The sequence below is a fragment of the Homo sapiens genome, chromosome 7, assembly GCF_000001405.40.
Source record: "Homo sapiens chromosome 7, GRCh38.p14 Primary Assembly".
In the NCBI taxonomy this organism is placed as follows: Eukaryota; Metazoa; Chordata; class Mammalia; order Primates; family Hominidae; genus Homo; species Homo sapiens.
In genome coordinates, this window is record NC_000007.14 from 86,892,678 (window position 1) to 86,911,726 (window position 19,049).

A 19,049-nucleotide genomic window follows, 5' to 3' on the forward strand; every position below is an offset into this window, starting at 1 on the left:
TTCCTTGTTTTCTAATAAATGACTCTAACTCAATGATCTCTAATGTTCTATGATCTTTCTACTGTCAGAATAACAATCGTTTCCTCTGCTTGCTTTCTCAAGGCCTTTCCTATGATTTCTTCGCAAGGAGAAAATTCTTGTGTCTCTGAGAGAATCTATTTATTGGATATAATGATCAAGTCTAGAATTTTCACAACAAAATAGGCCCTCTAGCTCTCTTGTGATCATCTCAGAGGGTACTTACTTTTGATTCTTTTTCCAGAAGTAGCAGGTCAGAGCCACCAGCAAAACGGCAGTAAAAGCTCCCACACCGGCTCCCACCTTCAGCCAAAAGTCAACCGTTTCACAGGTTGCCAACTTTTTCTCAGGCAAAGAAATTCCTTTAATGCACCATTTAGGTTCATTCCACACATACAAGGTTTCCTTTAAAAAAAAAAACATAAAACCATAGAAGACATGAGAAATGAAATTCAGACTCAACTGTGAAAGCTAGATTTGTCACTGGTCAATTTCTTACATAAAAGAAGAAAGGGTTTTGCTAACCCTTTACTTACAGTAGGCATAGAGGATTATTCAGCATTCATTTAATAAAAGCTCCAGAAACACAGGAAAAAAATATATGTGAATGAATAAGGAATTAATGAATGAAAAATGTAAAAACCAAATAAAGACATGGATTGATGGATTGCCACCTGAGAAGGATGCAGTACAGTACATGCCAAGGAGGTTGAATAAAAATGGCTCCATCTGGACATACCTTCTGGGCTATTTTTTTTTTTAATTTTGATGCCTTTAAACATCTTACTCATGTTTTTGAATGAAAGCTTAGGTTGCTTAATCTAAGAAATGGGTTGCATTCACCCATCATGTAAGCCCATTTTCCCAATAAGCCTGTCCTCCGAATGGAAGAACAGACCCTAGACCTGGGACATACAGGTGCACCACGGCTGGGTAACTGGTGTAAGTGGGCACACAGTCTACACCCTTCTTCCCCATGCCAAAATAAGGAGGGCATTATTCTGGGTCATCACTACCCACACCAGTTACTTTCATCCTCCCGAAATAGATGGCAATTCCTTTAGGGCAATGTTTTTCAAACTGCAAGTTACAACTAATTGTGAATAATAAAATATTAATATACTGGGTCTCAACCAGGAATTTTTTAAAATAGACAGATCAAATAGGCAGATCAAAACAGAAAATCCAAGTACAGCATATGGTTCGTTATATATTTCAACATGTACGGTGACCAGTAGCAATTTGCATGGTGATTCTATCCACCAACATTAATAATATAGGCACTAATCTTTTAACGTGTCTCATTAAACTTTCTGGTATATGATGGTCATTTTATCAACACTCTAACAGAGGAATAACACCATAATGTTAATTTTTATGATTTAAATACACAAACAATTTTGCAGTTAGTCATGAAGTGAAAGGGACATGAGACTCTTACTCACTTTGGGGAAAAGTTTGAATCAAGTTTTGGATAGGAAATTTCAGCATGTTTTTTAGAAAGGATATTAGTGACTGGATTTTTTTGTTAGTACATTATAACTGAAACGTGTTTCCTAAACTTAGTGCAAATCAATTTCTTTTTAAGTGGGTCACATTATTTTTTATAAAAATGGTAATGTGGGAAATGCTGAGGCATGTTCAAATTCATCTGCTGCATCTCTAAGTGTCAATAATGACAATACAGAGAGAAACAAATTCGTCAGCAAATGTTGACTTTATTTCAAGTGCATTCTAACAAGAAAAAAAGACTGTACCATCTTTGATATGGTTTTATCAAATGTGCAATGCCCAATGAGAACAGCAAGCTCTACTGTCTGATGACAGTCTTATAACAAAATCTTAAAACTTCAAAATTAAAAAAAAATACTTGCAAACCAAGAATGCTTAACTTTTCAATAAGTGTCTCAAATACCGACATGGAAAAAAATCAAGCTATTGGCAACTTTTCTTAGTAATTCTATAACTATTAATTAGAAAGTCTTATTCATTCAACCACACATCATTGGAAAACAAAAAATGGCTGACACTGCAGCTGAAAAATTTATTCTTCTAGTGTGTAGAAATATCTTGTGAGCAGGGTAAGATAAATTTAAAGATAAATTTTAAGACAGTCCCCTTAGTGATAACACAGTATCTCTTCAAATCTTTAGTGCTGCATGACATATAGAAGTAATGCTTAATACACACTTAGAACCCAGTATAGATTTTGGAGATCCAATTTGATAAGAGCACTTCTATCACAAGTTGTGCGGCTCTTTTTGTTTATATCAGCTGTATGTGGAGGACTTGTATAAATTTAACATACGCGCCTGTATTAGATATATTTAAAGAATTAGAAAAGTGCACGCTCAATCAACATAAAGTAAAAAATTGTAAAGATGGTGTCGGAAATAGGACTGAAACACAACGGGATGGTTAAAAAATGTAAATATACCCATTGCAATATTTTGCAATAACTATTTTTCTTCTATCACGAAGCTTTGGTATCCAAAGAAATCCACATATATTCACTGACAATAAAAAATGCAGCAATATTTGTCATTTGTATATGAAGCTCACGGAGGAGTTGACTTTTTAAAATATTTTATTCAGTGATCGAGGTGGCTATTCCCACTTACTGTATCATACCAATTTTTTATAGTTGCAATGGAATACATTAAGTAAGGTCTATGAACTCAGGAATGACATTCATAGTTTTGTAACTGAAGCTCAAGCTCCTTGGACAAATATTTCCAAAACTGGTATCTAAGCATAACAGAAGGATATATTTAACTACTTCCAGTATTTCTCAAATTAAATTTGTAACTATAGGGGTATGTTATAAATTTCAACATGTCAAGCACATCAAAGTGATCCAAAAAGTATCATTTTAAAGGCAAAAACAAATACTAAAGAATCACACAGCAACTATCTATTCTCAACAATCTTATAATACGTTGAAGTGACCTTACCAAGGAAGAGAGTTTGAATGAAATAAAATTAGAGAATTTGTTGCAAATTTACTGTCTTAACCTTCTCATCATTCATTACCTTCCAGGAGAGAAATATTAAAGAATGTTTGGATAAAAGATCATTCAGCTATTCAAAAACCCTTGAATTAAACTTGGTAGCCAAAGGGAGTGCAGCTTCGTTTTTCATTTACTCTAAAAAACAATTATAAGATAAGCAGTTTATCAAAATTGTAGAGTAAAGGTAAAGAAGAATTTCTATTGTGAAGTAGAAAAAGCATTATCATTATTAAGAGGATTAACAAGAAACTATTTTTGTGAATCTGGAATTTTTATCCTTGACCTACTTAAAAATATTAAAAAGAAACTGTCTCAGCAGTGTGCTAGCTGAGTGAGCGGCACTGACCCTGTGTGCTCTGAACTGAAATAAGCCATCTACGAGGATACACATTTGACAAATTAAATAACACATTTCCTAATTTTTGTTTTTGTGTTGTCTGCTTATTTTTTGTATAATGCTTTAAATTATTAATAAAAATATACTTTACATTAACTCTATGCTTGTACTTTATCATAAAATATAAAATAAATCTTGCTCCTTAAAACTTTATCTCACTTTTAGGCATATTTCTGTGTGTCTAATTTGTGTGTGTGTGTGCTGGGTTTGATGTACAATATAATTCTTAATATAGTTTCACTGCCGTTAAAGTTTGAAAAACACCAACTTAGAGAATAGTTCTCTACGGTTTTTTCCTAGGGGTGAGGTGAACACAACTGCTGCCAAATACTTGGAATGCATGGGATTGGGCGCAAGCATCCTGATTTCATTCCTCTCAAGCTCCTGCCCTTCATCCTGCTAACTGCAAGCTCTTCAAGACCTTCCTGGGCAGAACTGCTTCCCCTCTCTGATTCTCTGGTGCCCACTCTCCCTTCAGGTTTCCAGGATTAGTGTTGATTTATTTTCCTCTGTGCTTCTTTATTATGATTTTAATGGAATTTGGGCATGGAGTGATAGTAAACAAGTGGTCTTGAAGCAGATTAAGTTTGTTTTTTTCATATGATACTACTCAAAGCTAGTTCAGTGAAGCAGGCTCTCTCAAACACTATTGGTGAAAGTGAAAATGAAGTGAAAGTGAAAATTGATATGATCAAAGTAATTTGGTAATATGTATCAAGCCTTAAAAATATCCATTATTTTTGGATTCAATTAATCTCTTTCTAATAATAAACTAACAAAATCAAACTTCCTTCAGACGTTTGCTACAGAGTTATGTACAAAAAGATTGTATTCAATTTTCTCTCAAATGTCTAACAAAGGAATTATTTAATACCAAATTATATAAAAAATAAAATATCTATCAATAAATATGTTTTTAAAAATATATTTAATGAGAAGGGAAAGTTTTCATAATGTATTAAATATAAAATGGAAACAAAAAATACTTAAGTATGAATGCACAGAAGCTATAGAGTAGGATCTTGATTTTATATGTATATGCTTTACTTTTTAGGCATGCTTCTTATAGTGAGTCAGTTATATTATCCCCATCTTAATTACACCTATACCTACATTATGTAAATCACATCTTGGTTTAATGATGTTATTCCCATATAATCCAGGTAAATACTAAAAGCCTGTGACTCCCTTATCATGATTCATTCTCCTCAATCCCAGTGCACATCTGCAGCTACCCTAGCATCTGAGAGTTCAGCTGCCAAACTTGATTTTAAATGCCTACCAATGTAACATTAAGTTAAATACAAGCTTTTGCCATACTTCTGGACCTGAGTTTCTATGATTTGATGCCAGATTAACCAACTATAATGCCGAAGCTCTGCCTTGAGAGTTTATCCCTTACCTGAAATCCTCTCTTGCAGGCTCCCTCAATCTCATGGAAGTCATGCTCCGTACACAGAGGGCAAGCTTCAGCACTCTCCCACAGGAAATAGAACGTACACCCATCACAGGTACCTGCTGGGCACTTGCTAAAATCATAAACAAAACCAAAAACACATAAGTGGCAGCTTTTTAACCCATTCAATCCACTCTAATCAACACCAGAATACCTATCACATGCTGGGGAGCACTGTGTGGATGCTGAAGAAACACAAGTGGAAAAAAGTCTAAAAGACACAAACCACTATGAGATAACAGTTTGTACCTAGTAGGATGGCTGGAATCAAAAAGATAATAACAAGTGTTGTCAGGATGTGGAGATATTGGTGTCCTCATGCATGCACAGCTGATAGGAATGTAAAATTGTGCACCTGCTTTGAAAAGTTTAGCAGTTCCTCAACCAATTAAGTATAGAGTTACTATTTATTCCATCAAGTTCAGTCCTAGGTATAAACCCAAGAGAAATGAAAACATATCTCCACACAAAAACTGGTACATCAATGTTTATAGCAGCATTTTATATAATAACCAAAAGGTGGAAACAACCCAAATGTTTATCAACAGATGAATGCATAAACAAAATGCAGTATATCTGTATAAAGGAATATTATTCAGCCATAAAAGAAATGCAGTAAGGCATACCACAACTTGGAAGAACCTCGAAAATATTATGCTAAGTGAAAGAAACCAGTCACAAAATTTCACAGATTATATGATGCTATTCATATGCTATTCAAAGTCCAGAATAGAGAAATCTATAGAGACTGAAAGTAAATCAGTAGTTGCTCAGGGCTGGGAAGTGGACTAGGGCATAGGGGACTGAGAGCTAAAGGATATGAGGTTTCTGTCTGAGGTGTTGAAAATCTTCTAAAACTGACTGCGGTGGTGGTTGCCCACATCCCTGAATACTCTAAACACCACTGAATTATATGCTTTAAATGGCTGAATTGTATGGTAGGAGAATTATATTTCTATAAAGGTTTTTGTTTTTAATTTAAGAGAGAGACACAATGACCAAAAAAAAAAAAAAAAAAAAAGGCTCTGGAAATGCTTCTTGGTAGAAATGATACCTAAGCTGAGTCTAGAATATTTGGTAGGAGTTAGCCAGAATAGAAAAGAAGAAAGCAAAGAAATTCCTGCAAAGGAATGAACAGGTATGATTAATTGGCAGGAAATTACATGTGGGTCATTATTGCTGGAGTTTCAAGAGCAACGCAATGAGTGAGTGCTGGGCATATGGAGAGAAACTAGGTAATGAAAGGCCTCATATGTTACAGAAGTTGTAACTTCTGTTTAAGGTAATGTACTTAGGCGAGGTACTTTAGGGAATAGAATGCTGCACAGGACCCTGGTCTTTTAGAGGTAGGAGAAAGACATCATCACAAAATTGTCTGAAGTGAAAAACAAACCAACCATCAGGTCAACATGCAATGAAGTGATGCAAATAGCGTTGCAATCTTGGGTTTCCTTGGCCTAATGACAACCTGAAAAGGTGGTTACCTTCACTACTCTGAAGATGATGGATGTGGATGGGGCTTAGACACAGGGATAGGATCACGAAGAACTAACCACTAGGGAGGCTCTGGAGACTTTTTGAAACTCTTCTTTCTAGCGGGTGTGCCCATTACCTCAGCTTGCCTCTTTCATTCTGGGACAGGTAAACATAGCATGGCTGAAAAATTAATGGCTGCTATGGTGTACAGAATCCTTACTGATTGATGCCGGAAGCTATTTGGACAGATTTTAGTAAGAACTGCTGTTTTGTTCATGAATTCATTAAAACTAGAGGAATTTAAATTTGTCTACCACTTTCGGCTTCCTTAAGCCACATAAATATAGGCTTTGCCCTGAAAACCTCCTTTAGACCTCAGCTGGTCCTGAGGACAGGTGTCCTGAAACCCTTAACAGCAAAAGGATAGCCACAAAATAGTAAGGGAAATTTAAAAAACACTCTTTTGAAGTTTTAACTTCAAATACCTTTCCAGTGATACATGGTTCAAAACTATAATATTCAGTCTAACAGCAAAGTAAAATTTCATACTGTTAGTTAACTAAATATATTCTAAGACACCCTAAGATATGAACACTAAAAAAAAAATCTACATGTCTAAAAATTGACTGCATTTTTACATGCCTATCTTTCCAAAGTGTCTGTAGACTAAGCAGAGGTGGTGGGATGTGAATAAAAGCAATGTTGTTTATAGCATGCTGTAACTGAGGCCCTATGCCATATGTCAGGGCTAAGAACAATGACAAATAGTGACTCTGGGGAAAATGGTTTAATTCTTATCTGCCTTAATTTCTCTGTTTTTTTTTTTAAAGAGTAATGAATATATTCAGACTGAAACAAAGATAGGTGGTTTTTTTTTAAAGTAAGTACAATAGATGAAAACCATGCCACATAAAATATCCATACTTTCCACCTTCTAGATTAGTAAAAAGCAACTCAAAATTTTTCTTTCTTAAAAATTAGGTAAACAATGAGAAAAAATATCCAAGAATACAATTTCCTGATCATTTAGTGAAAATAGCAAAAGTGCTCTCCTGTTCAAATCTTCCTCCCCAAATTATCCTACATTTTGTTTTCTAGCACAGTGGAGTTTTGAGTAAGGAAATAAAAAACAGTTTATCTTGGGAAAATAGAAGAGAAAGTCTGTTAAAATCTGAGAAAAATGAACTCAATAAATGAAAAAAAAAGGAGAAAACTAATCAAAGTTGCAAAAACTTCTAAAGAAAAGATCTGGGTTACAATTCTAACTGGACACTCGAATGATTATGTTTTCCTACAAATGACTTAACTCCTTCTTTCCCCTGCCACATTTTTGTAATTTGTCAAAATCAAACGTCTGCTATACTGCCTTCACGGGGTAGTTATAATGGATAAAATGAGTGAACAATTTTGGAAAGTTTAAAGCAATGCAAAAATATAAAAGACTATTAGCAATGCATATCACTTTCTAAAGAACTGCTAGAACCACAGAAACTGCAACAACAAAAAAAAATCACGACACTGATTTAATTTATAAAGCTGCTGTTAGGTGTCAAAACACTATAGTGCCTTTCCTTGGCAGACTTCATTTGTTAAAAGATACTCTTAGCTTAACTCAAAATAGTTTACCTTAGAGTCAATTATTTGATTCCTTTAACCTGATGAATCACTTAAATTGTGGAACATCCAAATTTAATTGTTATAAACCTAAATGTCATAATTTAAATCAGTCCTTCCGTGTGAAACAGGGATGTATGAACCAATAATAATTTGAACAGCACTTATTTTTAGTATGAAAATAGAAAAAAAGTACAAGAGAAAAACAAAAAATACTTTCTCCTACCAAGAAAACAGAAAAACAAACAGTAAAATAGATAAATGTTTTATTGCCAAGTACTTGAAATACTTTTCCCTTTGATTACTTGTCCTATCATCATCTCCAGCCACCTCCCCCAGCTTTTTAAAGCTGGAATGCAGAGGTATCACAAATCATGCTTCTTTTATAATTTTTGGTTTATGCAATCACCATAGGAACCAGTGAATAAATGCCTAAAGAGACAGTACACTGTCATGGATAGCTGGGGCATGTCAGGCTAGGATTCTACAGGATTACTGGATGTGCTGTGAAATCTAGGTAGAGCAAAGACCTATTCAAAGCACAACCAGGTGGACCTTGATTTGGCTTTCTTGGTAAATGAATAAGAGACTTCCCAGTTTCCTTATTTTACTTCTGGGATTGCCTTATGAATCTGGATGGCCCTGGCAATATGTAAGAATTCACATTAACCTTTTTTAGGAAGTTAGGTCTTGAATTCTAAAAGGGGATACATTCTCTGAGAGATAACTGGACTGAGAGATGAGCTATTAGTGTCTTCTTTTAAATAAATCTTTCCTAAAGTAGGATCTAATTGGTTTGTATTATGAATTCATGGAGAAGAATCTTTTCTTATGAACTATTATGACTTAATACTGATCCTATTATTAACTTTTTGCACAGTTTATAATTCAGTATAAATACGTTTTGCCAAAATAGAAAATACAAAGGTTAAAATACATTTATCCATATTGTCAATATGTTTCTGATCCCTCTGGATTTTGTCTGAGGAGACTGAAGGGAAAGGCCACAGTTTTGTGTACCTAGAAAATTTGTCAGTTGAGTTATCCTCCAGGATAAACTATTGTTGCTAAGCTGCTTTCGCATGGGGCTTTTGAGTGAGCTCCCCACGTTGGGGTATTCAGACTGGCATTAGTGCTGTCTGCTAACCTGCTGCTGGTAATTCCTCTCACCTTTGGCATCTCAGGAGAATCAGACTTTCTCTGCTGAGGATGGCTTGTCCCCTCTTGTATGGGGCCCAAAAAACACCACTGCATCTTGCTCCAAAATTTTTTTGCCCTGAGGCTAGAGATTACAAATTGTTTGTGAATGTGTCTTAGTCCATTCAGGCTACTATGATAAAACATATTAAATTGGGTAGTTTATATATACTTCTTATAGTTACAGGCTGAGATGTCCAAGATCACAATGTCAGCAGATTCAGTGTCTGGTGAGGGCTTGCTCTCTGCTTCATAGATAGCACTTTTTTGCTGCATCCTCATGTGGTGGAAGGGGCTAGCTAGCTCTCTGGAGTCTTTTTTTGTTGTTTGTTTGTTTGTTTTGTTTTGAGACAGAGTTTCCATCTTGTTGCCCAAGCTGGGGTGCTATGGCGCGATCTCAGCTCACCACAACCTCCACCTCCTGGGTTCAAGTGATTCTCCTGCCTCAGCCTCCTGAGTAGCTGGGATTACAGGCGCCCGCCACAATGCCCAGCTAATTTTGTATTTTTAGTAGAGACAGGGTTTCTCCATGTTGGTCAGGCTGGTCTCAAACTCCTGACCTCATTTGATCCGCCTGTCTCGGCCTCCCAGATTGCTGGGATTACAGGCGTAAGCCACTGCGCCAGGCCTGGAGTCTCTTTTATAAGGACACTAATCTCATTTATGTGGGGAGAGCCACCATGAGCTGATAACCTCCCAACACACCATCTCTTACTACTATCACTTCAGTATTAATGGTATTTCAGCATATGCATTTGGGGAGACACAAACATTCAGACTGAGACAGCCAAGTAAAAAGGGCTCCACAGAAAACCTCCAATCAGACTGGCACTGGAAGAATGGGGTGGGGCCTTGGGAAGTTTGCACCCTTTGCAGGGGGAGGAGTCTGGCCCCTCTTATTCCTGGGTGGCAACCTAGGATTCAGTCTGTGAGATGGGGGCTTGCTAACAGGAACCCCTCTCACTTGGCTGAGTCTTTTTCCTTTTCGCCCAATAAATTCCATAACCCCTCACCCTTCAAAGTGTCTGCAACCCTACTCTTTCCTGGATGTGTGACAAGAACCCAGTGTCTTCTACAAGAATATCACAACAGATTGAATATGAACATAAGATTTTTTATGCATAGTTCTTAGATCCAGGTTTACAAAATTCTATCATTCTCCTGCAAAACCTCCCTTTCTAAAGACTCTATCCTGAGTTAACTACCAAAAGCCAGCATCAGATCAAAACCGAGACAAACTAAATTAACTGACATTCCTTAGTTTTCTCTTCAGATTATCTTGTTTAATGAAATAAAATAATTATCATCCTTATCTCAAAATTGATCTGAAAATTTTAAGAATGGTTTGTGATTTTTATATCATGTCTTAAGAGTACTTATTAGTGTCTGAAGTATATAATTTTAGCAATTCTGTTTTAGTTTTTTCATTTCTTGATCAAAATGGATTTTAGCTGTTTTCACTTATGCTCATAATGCATCTATATGCCTTTTTACTTTTTAATATTCTAAGAACGTATTTGGTTTTGGTCTTTTGAGTTAAATTGCCTTTTTAATTTAACTTGCACAGACTTACATATCTATTATCTGTCTATAAATTGTTCTAGGGAAAAAGAAAACAAGGGAAGTCATTTTACCAATCATCCTTCCATGTCTCTTAAGAACTGAAAATGGATACATATTTTGGTTTTAACAGTCCTTCCCCAAAGACCAAAGAAAATACTACATTAGCATCCAATAGATCTGATGAATTTGATAGAGAGACTCTAAATTGGAATCTGTGAAATAAACCCCTGGAGTGTTTGACCCTTGAATATAACAGGACAGAACTGTGAAGCGTTCCTTTTGTGAGATTCAATATTCCCAGAGGCTATACTGATAATGGAGATGAATTTGGATTTTGAAGGAGGTTTTGGCAAAACAATTTTAGGCTGATTTATAAACTACTCAAGCAGTTAAATATAGTCAGAAGTTGACAGAGAGAAAAAAATGATTTTCCTCTAACTGGTGGCATCAATAAAGACCCTGTTTGAGGAAAGATGACTCATTTAAAAGAAGGCACCAATAACTTGTAAGTCAGTTGAGTTATCCTCTGGGGTAAGTGTGATATTTGCCTCTAACTTAGTGTGCTTCTTTGCAAATCTCTGCCCATGAGGAATTGGATGAAAAAATGGCAAGATGAGAGCATTATGGCATGAAAAAACCACACAGTTAGAAAATTATTCCATCGTGACTATGCCACACTGCAGCTATACAACCTGGCGCATCAGTGTTTCCTGCTCTGTAAAGTCAATGTGTTTGACTCAAGGATCTTGTGGATGCTGTGGCACCTCTATTATCAGAGTAAAAATGCTTCTCTTTATCTGCTTTTTAATAAGGCCTTTTTATACCATTTTCACTAACAGAAATGTCTCATGTTTTTAAAAGAACCCTTTGGACACAATGCTTAGGTCTAAATTCTTCCCAATAAAAGGAGAGCCTTCAGTTCCTCTATCTCCCTGAGATAATGATTAGAGGTTTGGGAAGCCTTTTAGGCAAAGGCTAGAGGGCCATCTATTTAGGGGCATCTATTAATATTTAGGAATATCAGCAGCCTATTGTGCTAGCAGTTTATTCTCTGCTCAAGGTGCAAACTACACTAGAAAATCTCGTAACTTCACTCCAGCTGTCAGATTACATCTGCCACAAACACTGTACCGTTTTTATCTAAAATGTTTCATACCCTCCAGACACTTTATGGAACTAGAAGCCAACTACATTTGCCAGACCAAATAGACAGCTTGGTGTTTCCAGCTGCAGATGAGAAGGCAGCCCAGATAATTTGCTGTTCCCTCTAATTTCTCAGGTGATACACAAAGAACACATATTTCCCCCTTTCTCCTGCCCATTTCACTTTCTATTAAGACTTTCTCACTTTCCCAGGTCTGGGGATCTTATGACATTTTCCCAGGACACCAAGATATAAAACCCCAACCAACATTGCTACTGCTAAAGTAAACTTTTGCCTGGCTTGCCAAGATTTTTGGCCAAGAAATGAGATTTCCTGAGGGTGGCATTCCTTCTGCACTACCAAAGTCTCCTTCTGAGACTTTTTGGTCAGCTTATGAAGCTTCTCAAGGCAAGTGTCTGGTTAGCATCTCCCTCCCTCCACTCTGGAAATCTTAAAGCTGAAAGAATGAATGAATGAATGGATGAATGAATGAATGAATGAGAAAGACAGAGAGAGAGAAGGAAGGAAGGAAGGAAGGAAGGAAGGAAGGAAGGAAGGAAGGAAGGAAGGAAGGAAAGAAAGAAAAGAAAAGAAAGAAGAGAGAAAGAGAGAAAGAAAGAAAGAGAGAAAGAGAGAGAGAGAGAGAGAGAGAAAGAGAGAGAGGAAGAGAAGAGAAGAAGTCCTCTTAAAAAATAGCCTGAGAAACTGGGCTATGTTGACTTTTTTTTTTTTTCTGTCAGTAGGAAATATTTATTCAACCTCACTGCTAAAAAAAAACCAAAACAAACAAACAAAAAAACCTAATAATTTCAGGAAAGCTGCTGTTTCTCGTGTTCTGATCTCCGAGCTCCCCCTTGTGCCCTGATGGGAAATTGATTCAAGAAAGAAATAAAGGTCAGCACATTTAAGCTGTAGTGTTCAAGCAGCTCCCTAAAGTAGTGGTCAGCACACTTCAGTGCGCATCACAACTCTAAATGAAGATTTATCAAACATGGCTGAAGGACTACACCCTTTAGACTGTCACATTTTAAATTAGCTTTTCATAAAACTAAAATTTGGAATACATTTTGAGAATCTGTCTCAGAAAAAAAAAAATCCAAAATGTGAGTTAAGAAAAAATCTGGTTCACAAATTTCAGTAGACATCAGAATTGCCTTGTGGTTTTTAAAAATGTTCCTATGCTCAGCATCTAAGATTCTATATTTTTAGGGAAGGCCCAGAAATTAATTTTTTAAATAGATACCCCAAGGTATTCTGCTGCAGGTCATCTTGATAAACCTGGCAAAGATAGTTTACTTCCCTAAGTGGCAGATTCCTGGAGGTCAAAGGAGAAACAAGTTTTCCTCTCCAAATAGGAAAAATTCAGTTTCTACATGCCATCGCTTAACTCCAGGAGACTATTTTCCTTATTACAATTAAAGCATCAGAACACACCTTACGAGAGTTAGAGTGATGTGTTTCCTAAAGGACAGACCTAATCTTCATTAACATCATCTACTTGAGTTAGAGGCCTGGAGGAGGCTTTGGAAGCTATTGAAGTAGACTCCCAGAGACTACAGGTTAATTGTTAGGTTCACAATATGGCCCCCAGATGTGCTGTAGTAAATAGAATAAGCACCTGAACTCAGAACTGTATGATGGCATATTAGAAAATGATGAAAGACACACTCTTTTATTGCTAGAATCTCTGACCACACCTTTCCTTGGAGGGTGGCTTGTTGCCTTGGTTCTAGCTTGGAGGCTGGCAGAGGGATCCTCTACCACAGGATGCCCTTTTATTATTATTAGGTACTACTCTTGTTGCATCCATCTCTCACCTTGAACAGGTAAAAAGAATAATTAAATCATAGGTCTATGAGAAGTGGAAACACGCAGTTGGTGAAAAGAGAATGTCAGTATGCCTTTATGCCCAAAAATAAGCCCAAAATACTGTGTTACCCCTGTAACTATTTTTAGGATACATAAGTAGTTGAAGCAATGCTTACACCACTGATTTCCAATCCTGATGTGACATAAGCAGGACAGGTTAAAATCTCCCAAGGGTTACTGTGAAACTATCAAAAACAAAATTAATATAATCATTTTCTCTTTAAAAATATATACTTTTGCTAATTTGATAGAGAAAAAAAATCTGCAAATCAAGCTATGATCCAAAGGTATCTTAACTCAGCAAAGATTAGAAATAAATAATCTGGCTGGGTGCAATGGGTCACACCTGTAATCCCAACCCAGCTTGGGAGGCTGAGAAGAGAGTCACTTGAGGCTAGGAGTTTGAGACCAGCTTGGGCAATGTAGGGAGATTCCCATCTCTACAAAAAATTTAAAAATAATAATAATTTTTAAAATAAAATATAAAGTAATAAATAATCTTCATGTTGAAAAATGAATATCTGAAAAATAAAACTGAGGAGGCATTCAAGTGTCACTCATGCTATTAAAGCAGTCTGTATTTAAGTTGACAATTCTGAGCCTACAAAATTGTTTTCTTGTTGTTTTCCCATCCAAAGCGAACTGCATTATTCAGATCTTCACTATAGAGGGCTATTGCCTTAATGCTAATTTGTGTTAAATGAAGCACATTATGTATTTTATAAGTCAGACTTACCTTGGTGATTCTGCCACCATTAATCAATAAACTGAAGAGCTAGAAATCGATAATATAAATTACCCTGGCCCCCATACCCTTCCAGAGAAAAAAGCTATGACTCAGAGGTTAGATTACTTAATCTTGATCACCCAGCTAGTTAATTGTTGATCTAGTACCATAATCAGGAAAGCTACTAATCCAGCTCTCAAGGAAATTCAGGCTAAACAATAAAATAAATACAGGGATACAAGCAATATAATTAATTTTATATTTCTTCAAGAGAATTAGACACTTAACACAAACAGGACAAGAATATGTCATACAAGAGGCTAGGAAGTCTTTAGATTGTACAAGGACCTATTTCTCTTAATACACACTCAGCACATTCCCTACAAAAAAAAAAAAAACCCTACAGATTGTTCTGTTTTCTTTCTGCTTTATGTTCATAGAGAATATGTTTTAAAATAGTAACATTCTGGAGAGTTTTTCTTCCTCATGGTAAACACAAATCATATGGAAATAAGGATACCTGGGGACTGAAATCACTCCTGCTCCAGATTTAGTAGGATTACACCTCATTTTCACAGCAGTTGATCGGCCATTAATACAAGATGTTGTTGCTGTAGAAGACCTATTGTAAGCCAAATAACATTTTTAAAAAACAGATATAATACAGATTACAAAGACAAAAATATGGGAATAATTGCTCTCAGACTTCATGAACAAATGAAAAAGAAAAATGTATTAAAGTTCACTAATTTGTAATTTTAATACAAATTCAGCTCATTTACTTTCATTGCCTATGAAAAGTTGACTACTTTCCCAGGTAAAGTGATATGTTATCATCAAAGTATTTAGTAAAGATATAATTTTAATAAAAATTATAATCAAAAATATTCTTAAGGGAACAAAGACCATGTCTACTTAGGCCAATGCTTTGATATATGAATTATAAATAATTATTGGCGAGACAATGAAATAGAGTCTCTTTACTGCCAATGTAAGTGAATACACACACACACACACACACACACACACACACACACGAGAAATTATACAAGGCTTTCAAAATATTCCATGTTTCCTACTTTTTACTATCCTTCATTTAAGAATCAGTTACTAATTATTAAGTATAAGCTACATTCTAGGAATGCTCAGGTGACATAGTTGATCTTCTCTGCCATAAGAACTCACATCTGGTATATGATTACATACCCATAATTATAAATATATGAGTATTGGTGTTCCATATATATAAGTTTCTTTTGGTTAAAATATAGTCAAGGGAAACAGCATCTTCACTTACTTATAAAAGAAATGCACATCTGGTATTTGGCTTGTTGGAACTGGGAACATATCTTCTTTTATATTAATATTTTTCAATGTGGTTTCAACTGTGACTCCTAGATGACATTTAAAAAGAAACTATTAAGCAATATGGAAAATTAGTTTTATTTGGTCTCCGTAGTTTTGAATAGAAAATAGCTTTAATGACTGTCATTTTACAATATTTACAGAAATGCTGTATTATATTAATGCATTCATGGTAAAAACAAGAAATTTTCCAAAGTCTCCAGAATGAAAGAGAAAAGATTCTACTCCCTAGTTTTGTAATTTTGCTTAAGTCTTTTCACTTCCCTGGGTCTTGTTGCCTGAATCTAATGCAAGCAGTAATTCGATAATCTACGAAGTTCGTTTCAGTTCTCTAACATCTCAAAAGTCTATTAAAATTTTCATTCTCCAGTGAATTTTATCGAATGAGTTAGGCTACTTTGCTAATACAGCTTTTTACTCATATTCAATATAGACATATTTGACAAAGCAAAAAATTTTGTGCCCTAATAATTTCCAGAAAATAACTCTGAAATTTGCTTAATCTAGTAAGCAGAAAACTAAGGCTTTTTTTCCCTGCCTCTTGTAAGCAAAATAACAGAGCCAAAACACAATAAGAGCAAACTTTGCTTCAGAGTTCCCAATCTGAGCAACCCCCACCCCAGTAACTGACCTTGGTGCTGAAAGTCAATGCTAAATTCCTCTGGAGTCTATACTATAAGCAATGTTCTCAAATCTGGCCACACATCCGAATCACCTATGAAGCTTGTTAAAACCACAGATTCCTAAGCCCCACTGTAGAGATCATAATAAATTTGATCCCTAAGAATCACCCATTAGAGAGCTAGATTCTTCTTGAAACTTATCTATGACCTCCAGGACTACAGAGACAAAAAGGGAACATGAGGAATCAAACTCAGCACCCTCACCTTTGCTGTTTGTCACCTGCTTCCTTTTGGTATGAGAAAAGGTGATGGAAACTGGTGGCATATAAATAATTTAGGTGTAGTTGTGTTTGTTTACTATTCCTATTTTGTTTTTAGTTTTGATTTTTAAAATTGGTTTGCCTCTTAAAGTTCTAGAAAGTCTGATGACAGGCATAGACCCTCAGAAAATGTCATACTTATATATGAATTAATACATAAATGCAGAAGCTTCTCAGAGACTAATCAATAGTCCCCACTAGTAGGAGCTTTTTAACCATCTTACAAAGTGACAATTTAAAATTACCTGTGGGGGCCTTAATCATCTATAGCAAACACCAATACAATGACAAGTTATTCATAGCATAATTTAAGAATAAATGTATGCATGCATATATGAACCAAAGGAAGCTTACCTATGAATGTATCTGCCAGAATGATGGATTGTGATGATAAGGCTGCTCGGAAACCCTTACTTTCAGAAGGAATAATTGTTGACTGGCATACAAATGCCCCTACCAAATTTGTGTAATCATCTGACCCTGCCACTATTTCTTTTACTGTAAAGTCTGTTATATTGTTGGTACAGAGAGCCATCTTCTTCCCCTAGGAAAATAAAGTCATAAAAGAAAGGTTTTATTGGATGTCAATCTCTAAACTTAATCTTGACTAGCTAGTGACCCTAGAAGAGCAGTGGCTCTCTCCTCACTGCAAGGATTCTGATTTAGTTGATCTGGTATGAGGCCTAGCCACCCATCAGTACTTTTTAAAAGCTCTCAAGGAAAGTCCAATATTCAACCAAACTTCAGAGTCTACAGTTATAACAAATACAGTAATTCAAGACTATACTGCTCTTCCCAGTACAAGCATCATTTGTGATAAATGAAAGTCATCAAACTTGAGAAAATAAAAGTAATCTATGAAATGTTCAATTCATAGAGTAACAATGCATGCAAAAAGACCAGAAAACTGCTGATGAAAGCTTCAGTGTCAAAGAAAAAGTGTTGGTCTTCCTTTTCCTTTATGACCCTATGTGTAGCAGAAAGGTAATGTGAAGGCTAAAGAAGAAAGCACAAAAGTCATACTGCAGCAAAATTCTAGAATAACACCTGAATTCTAAATAATTGGTCACTACAAGTGTCTTTATTAACCTACTCTTAGTTTCAATGATGTGTATCTGTTCAACTGTATAACAAGTTAAAGGTAATAGAGAGATTAGCTTTTTTAATAATTTTGAAAATAATTGGAAGATATAACTTATAAAAAATGGAAAAATTGTTTAAATATAATATGTTTAAATTTACTGTAGTCCTACTGCAAAAGACTATAGCTTGCTCCATAATTTCTACAAAGTAAATGTAAAAATAATACAGGAAAACTATTTCATTGGTGTTAGATATAGAGTGTACACAGATGTGTAAAAAGAAAAGTATAAAAGTTTATCTTTCTTAATGCAGCTAGCAGACCTAACCTATAAATTTTTCTCCTGCTACCAGGCCTTCTGACAATAGGCCTTCTCACCAGTATATTTTTTTTACTAGGCTTAAATTAAAATGTTGAAGCCAATAAAAAATAATGGAAAAGATCAGAGAAAAGGTACTGGGGAAAGAAAAAGGAAAATAGTGGAAGCTAAAAGGAAAGAAACAAGAATAAAAAGGAAGGAAAGAGATAGAAGCTAGAGGTGAAGAGAAGAGAAGGTGGAAAAAGAGGTAGTGCTAATGTACAATAAGATTGTGATAGAAGTATGGTAGACAATGGAATTAATCTTATTCACTGCTTCCCACAGTATCTGGCACATAACAGGTATTTAATTTATATTTATTGAGTGAACTGAGTAACCAATCTAGTGAGTGTCTTGGATCACCCCAGGTAAAATCAAAACAGGACAGCTGTCATACTATGTAAAATTTTATGGATCTTTTTGTTTGAAAACTTCTGTGGTCATCAGATCTCTTTTTGTTTCCTTTGTTCAAAGCTTTGCACAGTATCTCATAATGAAGACAATTGAAAATATAGGAGTTAATATGGGAAGTGACATGGAGGAAATGCCTTATCCTGTTCCTACTCTGTAGGTATATACCTATACATACTTCCCAACCCTAACCTCATATGTCCATTAAAATATTGGGCATCATGGTCCTGTAACCTCTCCCCATTGCCAGTATCAATTAAGATTCCTCTTCTTCTCACAGCAAATAAAATCCCATTTGTATGATTTAAGCCTACCTTATCAACTGATATTTGGCCCTGCATGTCTCCTTTTTATTTTGGACAAGCTTCCTCTTGAAAGTCTTTTTCTTCTTAAAACACAAAATTGACAACATAAACAAC

The 19,049-nt window shown here is 35.5% G+C and overlaps 1 protein-coding gene across 11 annotated transcripts in view; it reads right to left on the bottom strand.

Moving 5' to 3' along the window:
• Nucleotides 1-19,049, bottom strand: part of ELAPOR2 (endosome-lysosome associated apoptosis and autophagy regulator family member 2) — a 182,749-nt gene that overhangs the window by 15,772 nt on the left and 147,928 nt on the right. For all 11 annotated transcript variants that reach the window (XM_011515918.3, XM_011515921.2, XM_017011843.2 and 8 more), the window contains 5 exons: nt 17,135-17,324; nt 15,770-15,866; nt 14,993-15,094; nt 4,829-4,955; nt 245-423 (listed from right to left, as the gene is read on the bottom strand). In XM_011515918.3, coding sequence (XP_011514220.1) covers nt 245-423; nt 4,829-4,955; nt 14,993-15,094; nt 15,770-15,866; nt 17,135-17,324 — 695 coding nt within the window. The remainder of the gene's footprint in view (nt 1-244; nt 424-4,828; nt 4,956-14,992; nt 15,095-15,769; nt 15,867-17,134; nt 17,325-19,049) is intronic.